Genomic DNA, 17974 nt, shown 5'->3' on the forward strand with positions numbered 1-17974 from the left:
TTGAATAAAAGTACTGTTCTAAACACTATCATCATTCTAATTTTAAACAGAAGTTGAAGAAGTCTAATTGAGACATAATGTCACTTGACTAACAATTGGCAAAGTCAGGATAAGAAGTAAGATCTTTCTGACTTAAGATGAGTTTTAATCATTATATCAACATTCAAATTCCAGAGACAATTCTCTTTTCAATTGGGAATGTATGTAGAATGGTCAGCATTTGATTTATTTAAATAAGGGCTTTAAAAAAGTAACTACTATCTGTTGTCACCATGATTTTGGTATAAAAAATATGAAGGATATAATTTCAGGTGAAAATATAGCAATCCTTCGCCCCAAAATGATATTTGTCAACATTTTACAGACATGTATAAATAAATAAATAATTTCTCTCCTTACTTTATCACAGACCAGTGAAAAGTTTATCACAGATCAACACTAATTCATTTTCTGGCTTTAGGGAACTGACCTCATGAACTATTAAAGGGTAAAATGCAATCAAAATTACATCATAATACCTCAGCTAATGATAATGTAGCCAGATATAACATAAGGCAACTTAAAAACACAAAGAAATACAGATTGAGGCCTGCTACCTAATGGAAAGAAAGACAAACAATTTCCAAGCATTTATTCATTATTCAACATATCGAGTTCCTACTTGGTTAGGAGAACAACTTTTAATAAGACTGACCTTGTCTCTGCCTTCATGGAGCTTATTAGGTTTCGTAGTCTACAATCTTCAGGGTCTACTATCTAGAGGAAATCAGGTAAACTATTGGAACAGGATTTTGCCATTTATATTACTCTGGCCACTTGAGCAATTTCTTGCACTCTCAAAAGAACTGAGCCATGGATGTCACCAAAATAATCATGCTAGTTGAGCCATGGATTCCAACACCATGCAAAGCAAAAGTCTCTATATATTTGATATATTTTCTATGGGTATATGTGTGCATGTGTGTGTATGTCATTTGCTCCTGTTTCAACTGTCATCTCCCTTCTCTAACTTGCCATTCCAGCCTTTCTGATTGATTCAAATGTCAACTTTATCAAATAGTAAATTCCTATATAGACTTGAGTTTACTCTTAAACTCCCTTATTTGAGTTGTGTCAACACCAAATTGCACTAATTCCCATAACTATATAAAACATTTTAAAATTACTTAGTGTAAGTTCTCTCTTAGTGATATTCTTTTCTAAATTTCCTTTGAAATACACATGTATTCATTATTCTGTTGGGTTTCTTGCTGGAGTTGCCATTAGTTTTAAAAAATAATTCATAAAGTCTTAGCAAGGTTCTTCCTGAAAATTTTTGTTACAGGTACAGAAGGTTATTTTTTATTAACTTTTTGCAGACATTTTATTATGTTTTTAAAGATACTAATATAATATTAAGCTGAAATTCCATTAAGATAATTCTTCCTTGGACCAGGCTGAAGCAGTTCAAATACAGACACCCAGTGACTAAGGGCTTTTGTTTTCTTTGAGAGAAAGGTCCAAACTGGGGAGGGCTTCATGTCTTTTCTCACACTCATGACTGATCCCCTCCACCAAATCTGCGCACAAAAGAGGCTCTCTCTGGTACCCTGCCCCGACCCTAATCCTTCTCATGACCATCCATAAAAGATCTAAGGAAAATAACCTGTCAATGAATATGAACCCCCACACTCGACCTTTAGAAATGCATTAATATTTTAGCTGATTTCTTCCTTTTCACTTGCATTTTCCTTCTGTGCTTTGCAAAGCATAGGTAAGTCAATCATGGCATCCTTTCTTTCCAGGGGGTGGGTGGTTGCAAAGGTGCCCCTGTTTAGATTTCAGACCGCCTAATTGTTCCACAACCTCAATTCTCTGATGGCCTCAAGAGAAGTTGCAATTTTGTGGTTTATCTGGCTTTTTCTCATTGTCAGGGTAGAGGTAGTGTTCCTTCCAGCTTTCTACATTCCAGGCAACAAAAGACCTCTGCCTCACTGTTTTAATGGATACAGTCTGTCATTGCCTCATAAGTAACACAAAGATATTTACATTTAGGCTATATTTGCTGATACAGTTGTCCCTTGGTATCTGTGGGGGATTGGTTCCAGGACCTCTGCAGATATCAAAATCTGTGAATGTCCAAATTCCTCAGTAGTACAGTTGGCCTTCCATATGCATAGGTTCTGCATCTGTGGATTCAACCAACAGAGGATCGAAAATATTTGGAAAAAAGAAAATTCCACAAAGTTTCTAAAAGCAAAACTTGAATTTGCCACACAACGTGTATTACATTGAATACACAAGAATGAAGTGATATCTAGGGATTGTATAGGTATAGGTACTCTAGAGATGATTATGGGAGGATGTGTGTAGGTTATATGCAAATATTATATCATTTTATATACAGATTTGAGCATACTCAGGTTTTGAAATCCACATCATTTCTGAAACCTATCACCCACGGACACTGACAGATGACTCTATTTGCATATAAATAACATACACACATCCTCCCCTATACTTTAAATCATCTCACTTATGATACTTAATGCAATGTAAGTGTTATGTAAATAATTGTTATATTGTGTTGTTTTTATTTGTATTGTTTTGTATTGCTGTTTTATTTTTATTATACTAATATTATTTTAAAATATTTTTATCCATATTTGGTTGAATCGTGGTGGCAGAACCCGTGGATACAGAGAACTGCTTGCCATATAGCACACTACTCTGTTTGATGTACCTTAAAAGTAAGGTAACCTTATTTTTAAATCAATGTCATTTATCTATTAAAATAAATCTTAGGTAGAGCCACAGTATACAAAAGAAACCAAAGAGAAGCTGTCTAACTGAACAAAGTTGAGTGATCAGACCAACCCTCTCTACTCTTGTGATGACCCCAATGCTCCTTACATCTCAAAGAACATGGTGTGAAACATTCTGCGTCACTGAAATATACCTTAGAAACTTGTCAAGAGGAACTGAGAACTGAGCTTGAGCATAGTCATTTCCAAACTTTTCTTGATTCCTTACATCTATGTATGTATATGTAAAAACAAGAAATATTTTTAAACATAGGATTTTTAAAAAATATAGTGGAAGTTCTTATTCTGTCTTCCCACCTCTCATTGGATTATTTCCCACATTCTCTGGAGGACAATCACCACCAACTTTTAGCAAATGTTTGTCAGATTTACTCTCTGTGGTAGAACTAGGCTACTTCCTCTTTCCACATGCCTCTGTTCCTCTCAGTCTTGCAGTACGGGGCCTATTGATTTCTCCCAAATGTAGCCCAGTCCAATCTAAAGAGCTGGGCCAAGAGGGTCTTGGATGCAAGGGAAGAAAAGCAGCCTGGATTCCCTCATTTGGTGGAATGTAGAACTGAACTGACTTCCTTGGGGTGGGCTTATGTATTGTGCCCTGGGATATTCCTGCTTTCTGATTGACCGATGCTGACCACTCCTCCCATGCCTCTGAAATTTTATTCCATTTCTCATTGATAGCCACTTCTGGTAAGATGGAACTCAAGTCGGAATTTCTGAACACAATTCAAGGAAGGAAGAAGGAAAAAGCAGGTGAGAGGGACAATAGATGAGAATGAGAATTCCTTTTAACATCCAGCTAATTCCGCAGATTTTGTAGAAGAGACATCTGTAAGCATGCTATGTAAGTCTGAAACCACTTGTCTTAGAATTTTACATCTACTCATTTTATCATTGCCTATTTTACAATGGAAAAAGCTATAGTTAAAATAAGCTGGAGACTTCCTGCTATAGTCTGAGATGCATTACAGGTCAATCAGGCAGCTCTCACAGAAAGGATGTACCCAAAGTGTGAGCCATAGAATAGACTACTGTGCAAAATGATCATTAAGTAAAGCCTAAATAATAGCTGCTATGATTTGGCAAAAGAGTAAATTATAAAGTTGCCACAGGTAAAAACAATATTTGTCAGTAATAAATAGGTAATATTTTGGAGTTTAAAGCCTTTTAGGAAATGGAAAGGACTTTTCAGATTAGTCTTATCCTGAAAGTTCTTCATTTCCTCCAGAAGATAAAGAAAGATATCATTGTTTTCACCATGGCAGCACTGGGAAAATCAAAGGCAGTATGTACTAGTAGTCAGAGCTGGCATGTACAGCTGTGCACTCATTCACTGAACAACTCTAAGGGGACTAATTTCCATCAGAATTGTATTCATACCATATGAATACATTATGGTTCGTATGTGTGCTATTGACTCGAACAGAATATTTTGGAATCCTGGCCTGCCCTCTACTAATCCTATAATCTTGGAGGAGTTATTTAACCTCTCTGTGCTTCTATTTTATTATCTATCAAATAATAAGAAAAATTTCCCTTATAGGCTAGTTCTGAATATTAAGTGGGATAATAGTAAAAAAAGTTTTCATTTCTATTTATTTTTATTTTTATTTATTATTATTATTTTTTTTTTTTTGAGATGAGGTCTCGCTCTGTCGCCCAGGCTGGAGTGCAGTGGCACAAGCTTGGCTCACTGCAACCTCTGCCTCCCAGGTTCAATGATTCTCCTTCCGCAGCCTCCTGAATAGCTGGGATTACAGGCGTATGCTACCACACCTGGCTAATTTTTATATTTTTAGTAGAGACGGAGTTTCACCATGTTGGCCAGGCTGGTCTCGAACTCCTGGCTTCAAGTGATCTGCCCACCTCGACCTCCCAAAGTGCTGGGATTACAGGCATGAGCCACCACACCAGGCCATAAAAAGTTTTTAATCCAGTGCAGTGGGCAGAATAATAATTCCCCCAAAGATATCCATGTCCTAGTACCCAGAACCTGTGATATGTTACATTACAAAAGGAAATTAAAGTTGCAGATGAAATTAAGGTAGCTAGTCAGCAAGCCTTAAAATAAGAATATTATCCAGGATTATCTGGATGGGCCCAGTATAATCATGTGGGTGTTTAAAAGCAAACAGGAAAGCAGAAGAGTGGGTCAGAGAGAGAGGCAACAAGAGAAAGAGGGCGAGAGATTTGAAGCATGAGAAGAACTCAACCTACCATTGCTGGCTGAAGACAAAAGAAGGGGCCATGAGCCAAAAAATGTGGGTAGCCTCTAGAAGAAGGGTGTCCAGTCTTTTGGCTTTCCGGGGCCACATTGGAAGAATTGTCTTGGGTCACACATAAACTACATGAACACTAACAATAGCTGATGAGCTTAAATTTAAAAAAAAAGCAAAAAAAAACTCATAATGTTTTAAGAAAGTTTACAAATTTGCGTTGGGCTACATTCAAAGCCGTCCTGGGCCACATGCAGCCCACAGGCCGTGGGTTGGACAAGCTTGCTCTAGAAGCTGAGAATCTTCCTCAGCTAAAAAGCCAGCAAGAAAACAGGGGCTTTAATCCTACAATTGCAAGGAGCAGAATTCTGCCAAAAATCTAACTGAGCAATGAAAGAGATTGTTCCCCAGATCCTCCAGAAAGGAATGCAGTCTGCTGACACCTTGGCTTTAGCCCAGTGAGATCTTTTTTGGACTTCTGATCCAAAGAACTTTAAATGTATATTGTTTTAAGCCATCAAGTTTGTGACAATTTACAGTAGCAATAGAAGCTAAAACTATACTCATTTATGTGATTGCTACTATTGTTGTTGTTTATTCATTTACTCAATCATTAAAAATATCCACTGAGAGTCTACTATGTGCTAGGCATGATTCTAAGTACTGGGATACCACAAGAAACAAACTGGTGAGAGTCTCGCCATTCTAAAACTTGCCTCTCAGTAGAATATAACCATATAACTAGAGCAAGGGGCAGGGAAGCACAGGAACTAGCTGTAGGCAGTTTGCTGAGTATGCAGTTGGGCCACCACATCTGCAGGATTCACATCTATAGATTCAACCAACCACGAATTGAAAATATTTTTATAAATGGATAGTTGCATCTGTATTGAATATGTACAGATTTTGGTTTTGTCATTATTCCCTAAATACTATAATAAACACCTAGTTACATAGCATTTACACTGTACTAGGTAGAAATAATTTAGAGATAAAGTACACAGGAGGCTGTGCATAGGTTGTATCCAAATACTATGCCATTTTATATAAGACACCTGAGCATCTGCAGGTTTTGTTATCTCAGCAGGGGTGGGGGGTGGTCTTGAAACCAATTCTCCCATAGATACTTAGAGACAACTTATCAGGGGAAATTCAGCCAGATATCGGGCGAAATTCACCCCTGATATTTCACGTAGGTTCTTTTCTATTTTCCCTAAGTGTCAGCCGGTTTGAGAAATAAAGGGACAGAGCACAAAAGAGAGAAATTTTAAAGCTGGGCGTCTGGGGGAGACATCACATGTCGGTAGGTTCCTGATGCCCCCTAAGCCATAAAACCAGCAAGTTTTTATTAAGGATTTTCAAAAGGGGAGGGAGTGTACAAATAGGGTGTGGGTCACAGAGATCACGTGCTGCACAAGGTAATAAGATATCACAAGGCAAATGGAGGCAGGGCGAGATCACAGGACCACAGGACCGGGGTGAAATTAAAGTTGCTAATGAAGTTTTGGGCACACATTGTCATTGATAACATCTTATCAGGAGACAGGGTCTGAGAGCAGACAACCAGTCTGACCAAAATTTATTAGGCGGGAATTTCCTCGTCCTAATAAGCCTGGGAGTGCTATGGGAGACTGGGGCTTATTTCATCCCTACAGCTCGACCATAAAAGATGGCCACACCCAAGGGGTCCATTTTAGAGGCCTACCCTCAGGGATGCATTCTCTTTCTCAGGGATGTTCCTTGCTGAGAAAAAGAATTCAGCGATATTTCTCCCATTTGCTTTTGAAAGAAGAGAAATATGGCTCTGTTCCGCCCAGCTCACCGGTGATCAGAGTTTAAGGTTATCTCTCTTGTTCCCTGAACATTGCTGTTGTCCTGTTCTTTTTTCAAGGTGCCCAGATTTCATATTTTCCAACACACATGCTCTACAAACAATTTGTGCAGTTAACGCAATTATCACAGGGTCCTGAGGTGACATACATCCTCCTCATCTTATGAAAATGACGGGATTAAGAGATTAAGGTAAAGACAGGCATAGGAAATCACAAGGGTATTGACTGGGGAAGTGATAAGTGTCCATGAAATCTTCACAATTTATGTTCAGAGATTGCAGTAAAGACAGGCATAAGAAATTATAAAAATATTAATTTGGAGAACTAATAAATGTCCATGAAATCTTCACAATTTATGTTCTTCTGCCATGGCTTCAGCCGGTCCCTCCATTCAGAGTCCCTGACTTCCCACAACAACAATTGTATTATCTAAGAAAGTAAACCTTTAGAAATAAAGGTAATGAATGCTGAGCAATTGTGGACAAAGAAGTTGAGAATTCTCTAAATTCAGTTTTTTAAAGGCACTAATATAAGTAAGTGAAAATATTATAACAAAAAAGTATAGGAAGAGGATTATTTCACAGTTTGATAAATGAAGAATGTAGTCTGGTCAATGCGGAGACATTTCATTAAGCTTTTACCTGGATAAAAGTGACAGTAAGGTGGAGCCAAGAGTATTTCTAGTTTATTGGATGCTTAATTAAACTTAATTGCTTCATAAAGCGTAAATAATTCTCATTTCATTTTATGAATTTTTTCATTCCAGATCATTTTGCTTTAATTAAGTACACATTTTTAAAACTCCTCAGAACCATTATAGATTTCAATTCACTGAGTCAACTCACAGAATTATATTTTGTCTAGTTTAAGCATTTGCATATGTGTTATGTCCTTGCATTTTCACAAACATTCTGTGAAATATCTTACCTCCATTTTACTGATCAGAAACCAGGCACAGTTAGACAGTGATGAATGATTCAAACAGATACTGACGGACATTTCACAGTTTACATCAAAATTTTAAACTTTGTAAAGACAGGAAAAGGAGCTTCATGGTGACCAAGGATATCAGCTCCCTTCCTCTGGAGCTAACTCCTAAGGTAAAAAGCAAGAAAATGCAGCACAAGTGATCACTTTCATCTCTACTAAAAGCTATGGAGATTCCTGCCAAAAAGAAACCCACCCCATTCAGCGCTGCAAATCTTTCAGTTTAAACTTCTGGTGGCAAAGGAAACAGCACCAATTTGCAATATTCCAGTGCTCTGAGTTGGTTTCTGGAGTCTATGTCGGCTCTGCAAGGAGAATGAATTGATGCCGTGGTCCTTCGTTACTTTCAATAAACTCTGGAATTAATAAAGGATCTTGAGAAATGAACTAATGGTGAACGTTTGGTAGGAGGAAGTCGTCAACCTAGAAGTTAAGTCATCACAGGCTTACTGTTGTCTTATGTTGATGGAATATCTAGATATTAACACTGTAAGGCAACACAAGAAGAATGTTTTCACCATATATGTATACTTTTCTCTCTTTTAAATAAGAAATTGTTTTCTTTGGACAACTTGACAAAAACCAATCATCTGTCAGTGATGCTGTAATGGGTGGTTTTGGGACATGTTTTTAAGGTTAGGTTTCTTGCAAAAAGTGACACTTGAAGAAACTTTTAAGCAAACAAGAGAGAATTACTTGATGGACACAGCATGATAGGTTTATCTTAGGTCTACAAAAAGCACAGGGCTCAGAAAAGAAGAAACCAAAAGGAGACCATTTTGAGCAAGTGAACTGTATAGTATTGTGAGTGGAGACTGAGGAAATTGATGTAAGTATTTTGAAAGCCCATGAGATCACCTAAACATTTGATGGTAGGAAATACTTCAATGAAAGCACATCCATTTTGTGCAATATTATATACCATTAAAATCATGTTTTTGAGGATTATTTAATGGTACTAGAAATTATTTATGATATAATGTTACTTGAAAGAGAAAGCAAGATATAAATTTCATATTCAGGATAATAGCAGTTTTGTTATACATATACCTGCCCACCAACATGCACACATGCATACCTTATCAGAAGGTGTTACAAATATACAAATGAAACATTAATCTGTCTTGAGCATGATAGGGAATGTATTGATAATATAACTGAACAATTCAAGGATAAAATTGGCTTCAAAGGTTGATCCAAGTCCAAATATGGTGCCAGGACCCCATTTCTCACACTACATTTTTCCGCTCTAGTTTTGTGCCATTGCTCTCATTTGCAGGTAGGTCCTGCCCTAGAGCATAGAGAGGCTGCAGGTACTCTCATTCAAGTTAGGTGGGAAAGAGGGTTTGAACAGGGTCCTGGTTTCTTTGTCTTATTTCTTGTTCCCAACCCTGAACCCATCCCTGTAGCTAAGAAGGTGTAACACCTCTCACCATCCTTCCCAACCAGAGGTGAGGTAAGTTCCAGCCAAATCACATGGCTAGGAGATTCAGGTGACCTTTAAGAAAGGGGAATGGAAGGGTGGGTGGTGAAGCAACAAACAAATGTCTGCTACTCATACTCTCACACAGGGAATAATTGGAAGAAAGGATACCCCAATTTTCATTGGTTGCCATGGATTATACATATACACATATACACAGACACACACACATATACATATTTAATATGGATTATAGATGATTTCATATGACTTCACAAGCTTATTTTATTTTTATTTTATTTTATTTTTCTGTGATGGAGTCTCGCACTCTCGCCCAGGCTGGAGTGCGGTGGCACCATCTCGGCTCACTGCAAGCTCTGCCTCCCAGGTTCACGCCATTCTCCTGCCTCAGCCTCCTGAATAGCTGGGACTACAGGTGCCCGCCACCAAGCCCAGCTAATTTTTTGTATTTTTAGTAGAGACGGGGTTTCACCATGTTAGCCAGCATGGTCTCAATCTCCTGACCTTGTGATCCTCCCGCCTCGGCCTCTCAAAGTGCTGGGATTACAGGCGTGAGCCACCACTCCTGGCCAAGCTTATTTTTTAAGAATATTCCAATAATTACATATAATCTAAGAAATAAATTACAAAACTCCCTAAAACAAAAGGTGCACATTTTTAGCTTATCAATAAAGCCAGGTCATTTATAGGTTGATAGTTTTAAATACTTCTATACAGCTGTATATTGTTTTATGCATATAGCTTTATAACTCTACATATAGTTTTATAGTTATATGTAGACAGATAGATATACCTTATTTATAAAATAATATATATTTAAAAGTTCGGCACCAAGTGGTAAAAGGTTCTGAAAAGTGTTTGAGACCATGGGAGAGGTAGTGAAGAGAGTGATTTCATCAAGCAATAGTTGAGAAATGTTATTTTTGCAATATTTTTTGATGAATGTTAATAGGTATCATTAATTATATTTAATATTTTGTAGCAAATGTTTAAATAATTATACTCAGGAACTTCAAAAACTTTATTTAAAAAAAAATTACTCAGAGAATGTCATGTACTGGCCTGTGCCTGGGCTTTCCCAAGCTATTTCTCCTCTAGTCCCACCTGTCTCTATGTCAGTGTTAGCCCATTGCCAATGGTCTCCCCACAAAAGAAAGCAACACACACTCACCCTAGTAAGATAGTTTTATTGGCATTCTTGTGGACAGATGGAGAATGGGGGTCTATCACATAGCACAGCTTTATAGACATCCACATTTACCCTTCTCCATACATTCCCAAAACGCTCTCTCCCTTGGCAGCTGTCTCATCCCTCCTAGCTCACTCAGCACCTCAGTTGGCATCTATTTTTTTTTCTTTTCCACCTCCTCCATCTCTTCTGCAGCCACATGGCTTCAGTCCCTACCACCCTGGGACACTTCCTCTAGGTTAAGAGTCAAAATGCAAATGCCCGCAGGAGCCAGGTGGGCAACATAAAGAAAAGAGCAGAAATTCCAGGTACCAAAGACTGGCAGGGACTATGGCAAACTAGACAATGAATGCCTCATAAAGCACTTGGTGCCTGTAGGGATGAGGATCCCGTATTCACTGGCTCCCGATTGTCAAAGAGACACTGGAAATAGGATCTTTAATATCTTTAAAAAATACCACATGGTCAAGGAAAACGTATTTGCCAGCCAGATGAAACCCATGAGCTACCAGTTTGCAACCTCATCCCTAGATCTCTCCATTCCTTTTCCTAAGTGGGCAAAGTTAGTCCTCTCTTGGTGTCCTTCATTTCTATAACCAAACATTAACCACTGCTCAGGGTAAATGTCAATGACTCATCACTTAGCGCACGAGCGTGTGTGTGTGTGTGTGTGTGTGTGTGTGTGTGTGTAGGTGGCATGGCAGGTATAAGGTTATAGACACCAAAACTCTCCAACACAGCAGTGCATCTTGAAGCAAGGATAATCTAAGTGTCGGGAAAGCTGGTTCTACTTCCTATTTAGCCACTTCCTAGTTTTGCTCTTCTATCCCATGCCTATAATACCATGATAAATGCTGAAATGCCTTGAACTCTCAAATTAAATGTACTATGTTGTACATATTTCCTTTTATGCTCTTTGTTTCCTTTGGGGTGAAAATATACTAATGAGCCAAACATCATTCTATCATCAAAGATTGGTGGGATTTAGGAGGTATCAGTGTGTCCAAGCTGCTCTGACGGACATTGTATGAGTGAGGTAAGACGAAGAGTCAATGCCCAGAAGCAGTGGCTTAAAAAAATTTTTTTGACCAGGTATCAGTCAGGATTTAGTCAAGAAAATAAAAATCACATTAGCTCTTCAAACAGAGGAATTGATTACTTAAGTGTGGAAAGGCTGAAAGAACAGAAGGGGAACACTATAAGAATATCTAGAGATAATAACAGCAGGAATTAGCCCATGCCTTGAGAAAGAGGGACAGAAAGTAGAAGGTGGGGTTACTGTAACCAGAAGATTGAAGGAGGGGCTCCAAAGAGCTGATGTTGTAGCTTTGAAGAGGTGGTGGCATCTGACTTCTGCTGGTAGCTCTGCTGCTAGAGGTCTGACAGAAGCTGAAAGAAGTTGAAAGAAGCCGGAGGCTGCAGCCAGTGCAGCTGCTGGAGCCATGCTGAGGGAAACAGAAACACAGAAAGGAAGCCTCTTCTCTTTCCTCTGACCTTCTCCTCCACTTGCAGAAGGAACCAGCTGGCAAAGGAGGGTCCCAATGCCAACATCACAGAGCAGTGTAGAGGGGGTGGATTTGGAGCTGAGAGACAATAGGGAGATAACTGGCACAGATACAGCCACAATCAAAAATACAGATCACATCAGGACTCAGCACAGAGCTTTTGCACGCATGTCCAACTGCAACAAGCTTCACGAACCAGTGGGACGCACTATATCTTATTTTCTATTCTATTCTATGTCATTTTAATTATTAAAATGCTGGTTACACTCTCCTACGTGATTTCATAATCCACTAGTGCCTTAGAGGAGTCTCAAATCTAAAAAAGAAGTGAATGACTCTGAGACTCCATGAGAGCAAAGTGTATGTGGTTGAGATGAAGAAGGATGTCCATCAAATTCAAACAAAAGTCTGAGCAACTTGGAAAATTCAGGGAAAGTATGGGAAGATTTGTTTTTCTAATTTCAGAGTAGTCTTTGCAAGAAAACAGAGAATATCATTGTGGTAAAGTTGGCAAGATCACATTTTAATTTTGACCCTGCCTTCCTCATCAACATTACAGATGTCAGTTTACAAGTAACATATGACATAGATGTTTACATGCTGGGTGGCACTGAAATACTTAATGTCATTTTTAGAGTCAACATTTATCAGCATGGTGGCACATGGAAATTAGGTTTGTTTTCTTTAGTTGGTCTTAGGAAAATCACAGTGCTGTCCACCGGATGGCATAAAAGTCACTAACAACAGATTCTCCTTTTTATTTCTGGGGTAATTAATCTAGAAGAGTAGACTTGTATGGCCCAAAAACACAATAGGATTGCATTATTTCCTTTTGGTTTTTAGCTAATATCTAGTATTAAGTCAATCTTTCATATATATATATATATATATATATATTTTTTTTAAGTTCATTAGTAATTCAAATACTGAATTTGATCTTTATGAAGAGATTTGGATATCAATACTATTACAAACACAATCTCTACATCCCCCCAAAAGTAGACCAGAAATTTGGAGAGAAACCCAGTTAAAATATGCTATAGCAAAGGCAAATTAAAAGCAACTTAGATGGTTTGACTCACAGAGTTAATAGAGTCGTTTACATTTAAAACCTGGAAGACTGGGCAAGGTGGTTTACACCTGCAATCCCAGCACTTTTGGAGGCTGAGGTAAAATTTTTTTTAAAATGTCAACAGAAAAGTTTTCAATCATCCAATTAAACAGATAATTTGTTTACATTGGGGAGGAGAAGTATGCCGTAACTCTGACGTGTGTGTGTTTATACATGCATGTATAAGGAGAGTGTGTGTGTACATGCGTGTGTAAAATAACATGGGTACTCAAAGGAACAGGTCCAAGTTTAGGAAGAATAGGCCATGTTGACTTGCTGGTATGTACCCAGAACCTGTTTGTTGATGTCAGTCAACTTAGTACTTTCTTCCTTGGGCCAGAGAAGATGTCATCAGATTATGAATCTGAATTGCTTTCTCTCTTTTTCTTATTGATATTTAAGAATATGAAAGAAAAAGATCTTTCTATCCAAAATAGATGAAGCTTAGCTGTAAATTTCAAATGCTGATATTTCTCAGCTGTTATGTTTAAACAAAATGTCTAAAAGCCAACCTACTGCTCACAGTAATCAGCAATATCTCCTATGTAAAATAGTTCAGGAAGCAAAGAAAAAATTTAAAATACGCGATCTCTTTAGTGATTTCACACCTTACTATCTTTCATTGGGTTTGTGACATCATTTTGTGACCTGTTTTAAGATCATATTAGAAAAACCAAAAAAGAAAAAAGATTGTATTAGATATGTATATATATAAGTACATGATAATTAAATATGACTTTCCCCAAATGCCTTGAGATAAGGGATGACAAAATGAAGTGTAACAAAATCAGAGTTCAGAGTCATGTCCCTTAGAAAGTTACGTGATGTTTTGGGCTTCATTCGCCTTATCTATACGAATTGCAATACCGCTTTTGTAAGTTTGTTATAAGGATTAAATCATACAACGTATGAAAAAAAACAAAAAAAAACCTGGAAGAATTTTGGCTTGGATTATACAGAATTTTACCCTTTGCAATTTTTTTACCATGTATTTAAATTCTTTTCTGTGCATTAGATTCCAAACTTCATAAGGAAATCCGAGTCTGAATTTAGGCTCAGATCCTGCTTCTGCCATTAACACACCATTTGACCCTGGCAACTTATTAAACTTATTATTTAATCTTATTAAACTCCTCATCTTACATGCACCACAATGTCTAACAATACATATTCAGTAAAAAACCTATAACTGTTGGAGCTTTTATCTTGTTAGATGAGGATATCTATCAAGAAACTATGATTCTTCTAATTTATTTCTGCTGAAAAATATAAATACACACTAAAGAGAAAGGGGGCAAGCTTCCAGCTCTACTGGAATAGAGAACTATAATGACTGAGAGGTTGAGTTTGGAGTCTGTTCACCTAGGTTCAAATCCAGGCTCCTTGACTTCCTAGGTAACCTGGATGAGTTGCTTACCCTCTCTGTGCGTCATTCTTCCCATGTATAAAATGGGGGGAAAAAAATAACACCATTTAACTCGTAAAATTGTCACGTGGTTTAAAGCTATGTACCTGTAAAGTGCTTTGGAACAGTCCCTGGCAAATAGTCCTTGGCCTACAATAACTAATAGCTATTACTACATTTTTATTCTTATGTCCAGAGTTTGGGTAATCCAGTGGAGAAGTAAAAGCAAGATGGAATGGAAGAGACTATGAAAAAGGCATGAATTTGGGGGATACTTCAAAGTTCTGAGAGTATATTGTAGCAACACTATAGTACTCAAAGTCCCATTGAATAACAGACTAAATCACAGGATCTCTTCATTTCCAAAATGTCCCAGCTCTCTGTTCACAAGAGTTGTCCATGGAAACATGAAACACCTCTTAGGCTTTATAATTAAGAAACTCCCAGGTTTCATAAATAAAACTTCAAGGACAGACTACTACATATTTAAAAGGATTGCTAAAGTAAAAAAGACAGACAATGCCAAGCGTTGGAGAAAGTGTGAGGCAAATGGAACTCACATACACAAACAGGGGTTACATAAACTCCTAAAAATCACTTCAGAAAACTGGCTGGCCATATCTGAGAGAGCTGAGCATATGCATTCCTCATAGTCTATATGCATTCTTTATAATCTATCAATTTCACTCTTAGGTGTATAAGCAATAGAAATAAAGGCATATGTTCATCAAAAGACAAATATATGAATGTTTATAGAGACAACATTTATAATGGCCCAAACAGAAAACAACCCAAATTCTATCACTGAGAATGGGTAAATTGGGATATCTTCATGTAACAGAATGTCATATGTCATAGAGAATGAACAAACCATTGTTAAGCAACATGGATGAATCTCACCAACATAATATTAAGAAAATTAGCCAGATATAAAAGAGTGCATATTGTTGGCCCTTGAACAACATGAATCCACATGTAATCTTTGACTACCCCAAAACTTAACTATATACCCTAATGTTGACCAGAAACCTTACTGATAACATAAACACCCAAATAATACGTATTTTGTATGTTATATACTATATACTGCAGTCTTACAATAAAGTAAGCTACAGAAAATAAAATGATATTAAGAAAATCATAAAGAAGGGAAAATATATTTACTGTTCATTAAGTGGAAGCAGATCATCACAAAGATCTTCATCCTCATCTTCTTCACATTGAGTAGGCTGAGAAGGAGGAGGAGGAGGGGTTGTTCTTGCTGCCTCAGGGGTGGTAGAGGCAGAAGAGATAGAGGAGGTAAAAGGGGAGGCAAGAGAGGCAGGCACACTCTGGATAACTTTTATGGAAAAAAAAATTCACATATAAGTGGACCCGTGCAGTTTAAACCTATATTGTTCAAGGGTCAACTGTGCTTTACGATTTCATTTATATAAAGTTTGAAAGAAGGCAAAACTAAACTAAATTTAGTTAGTTTAGTTTTGAAATCCTTTTAGTTAGTTTAGCATTGAAATCCTTTGTTTCTATGTCTGTCTCCCCTACTCAATCATAACCTGATCAAGACTAGGGACAGTGTCTCATTATATCTTCAGTGTTCAACACAGAGGCTGGCACATAGTAGGCTTCTAGTAAATGTTAATAAAAAGTAAAATTATTGAGATATATTTTACTTTGTATTTTATAAAAATATACTTTGATGCCAAGTTTGCTGATCAGTTTTGTCAAGTAGACTATGCAGTAGTTTATGTCAACTATCTTCTTAATTCTTCCCCCAAATTTCACTCAAACATTTCATCATTTTTCTCTGCCTTCAAATATTATTAGCAAAACTCTGCTAATCAGAGAAGTGGAAGATGTCATAAACTGTACTTTCTTTTTTTGTTTTGGTTTTGTTTTGTTTTTGAGACAGTCTTACTCTGTCACACAGACGGGAGTATAGTGGAATAATCACGGCTCACTGAAGTCTCGAACTCCTTTGATCAAGCAATTCTCTCACCTCAGCCCCCAAGTAACTAGGACTACAGGCATGTGGCACTGCACCCTGCTAATACTTTTATTTTTTTATAGAGATAGTATCTTACCATGTTGCCCAACCCGGTCTCAAACTCCTGGGCTCAAGTGATCCTCTTTCTTAAGCCTCCCAAAGTGCTGGTATTACAGGTGTGACCACCACACCCAGCCTTGTACTTTGTTTATTAAGTTTTCCTAATAGATTCTGTAACTGAAATGTAAAAAAAACTTTTATATGTAGCCTAAGCTGACTCTATTATTTATCAGAGAAATACTACAACCTGACAAATATGTTGGTTATATACTTATGTGGCCTGCTAAATTTGCAGAGACAGAGTAAGTAAAGGTGGAGAAAGGTTTCTGGCTTTGTTATGCCTTAAACAATTTTCTGAGATTCACATTTATTGCTTTAATAGGCTATCAAGAAAAATGAAGTAATTATCTGAGATGCAGAATTCTGTTGATCTGAGCATGGACATTTGTTCCTCCTCCCATGAGAGGCCAGTTCTTATTTTTCTCATGAATCAAATCTATTTAATTCCCATGAGCTCTCTGATTGGAAGAGTGTACTTACATACAACAGCAGAGAATTATGGCACCTCGGCTATTATCACATTCTAATCACAGCTTCTTGCATTTGAGGCTTATGATACAAAGCAGAATTCAAAATGTCAGTTTCTTGAGGTTCAAAAATCAGTTCCATATATGCTGTCTTGGCAGCAGCCAAAAAGGACAAATTAATAAAACATTATGTACAGTACTAAAAAACTGGGAGGTAGGCAGAGAATGGAGATGTACGTCATCCATTAATCAGTGACCTAACCAGAAAAACATTAGTGAATGATTAAAGAAAGATGACCCTAAGGGACTTCAGGGGGATTCAGACAGGCTTTTGTCAAAGCCCCCAAATCTAATGTAATTTCAGGCTGGCCTCAAAATTCAATTTGTGTGGAACCTCTAAGTCATCTATTCCGCAACGACATACAGCATAATTGCATTTGAACAGCTTCCAGCACAGCACTGAGAAAATGTCTTGTTCCGGGCCCTCAGTGCCTACGAGGAAGGCAGTCCAGATGACCACACAGGAGGACGGGCTCAGTAACAGAGTCTGCTGATCCCACCTGCTGACCGTTGCCCTCCACAGGAAGCACATGTTTCTGCTTAATTCCTGCCAGCTTTTGGCTGTCAGGTAGGGCATCTGCAACAGGCAGTTCCCGAGGGCTGCCACCTGGTGCTGTCAGTCGGCTTCAGACCAACAAGGAAAAGGGGAGGCATTCATCGATGTGCTTATTTTTCTGTGTTTAGAGTATTTCTTGGGACTTAGAGTTTTCACTTGGCAAGTTAACTGGTCTTTTTAGTTAGGAGAGAAAAAAAAGGAATTTTGCTTGCTTTCCCTTAACTCAGTGCTCCCTGCTTTGGAAAAGCTATTTTGTAATACCTGGTTCACCCTCATTAAGTGTCTGCAGCTTCTCCA

At 37.8% G+C, this 17974-nt stretch overlaps 1 long non-coding RNA gene across 2 annotated transcripts in view, besides 1 other annotated feature; it reads right to left on the bottom strand.

Annotated features, from left to right (window-relative positions):
* Positions 1–17238, bottom strand: part of LOC105377462 (uncharacterized) — a 360687-nt gene extending 343449 nt beyond the window's left edge. For both annotated transcript variants that reach the window (XR_939273.3, XR_939272.3), the window contains exon 1: positions 17075–17238. This is a non-coding gene — a long non-coding RNA (uncharacterized LOC105377462). The remainder of the gene's footprint in view (positions 1–17074) is intronic.
* Positions 3103–3162: an enhancer, noted in NCBI's record as "active region_21957". NCBI's record gives its function as "activates an Ori minimal core promoter by ATAC-STARR-seq in GM12878 lymphoblastoid cells {active_cell/tissue: GM12878}" and the evidence as "EXISTENCE:reporter gene assay evidence [ECO:0000049][PMID:35858748]".
* Positions 17239–17974: the final 736 nt, after the last annotated feature.

Source organism: Homo sapiens, chromosome 4 (genome assembly GCF_000001405.40).
Source record: "Homo sapiens chromosome 4, GRCh38.p14 Primary Assembly".
NCBI lineage: Eukaryota > Metazoa > Chordata > Mammalia > Primates > Hominidae > Homo > Homo sapiens.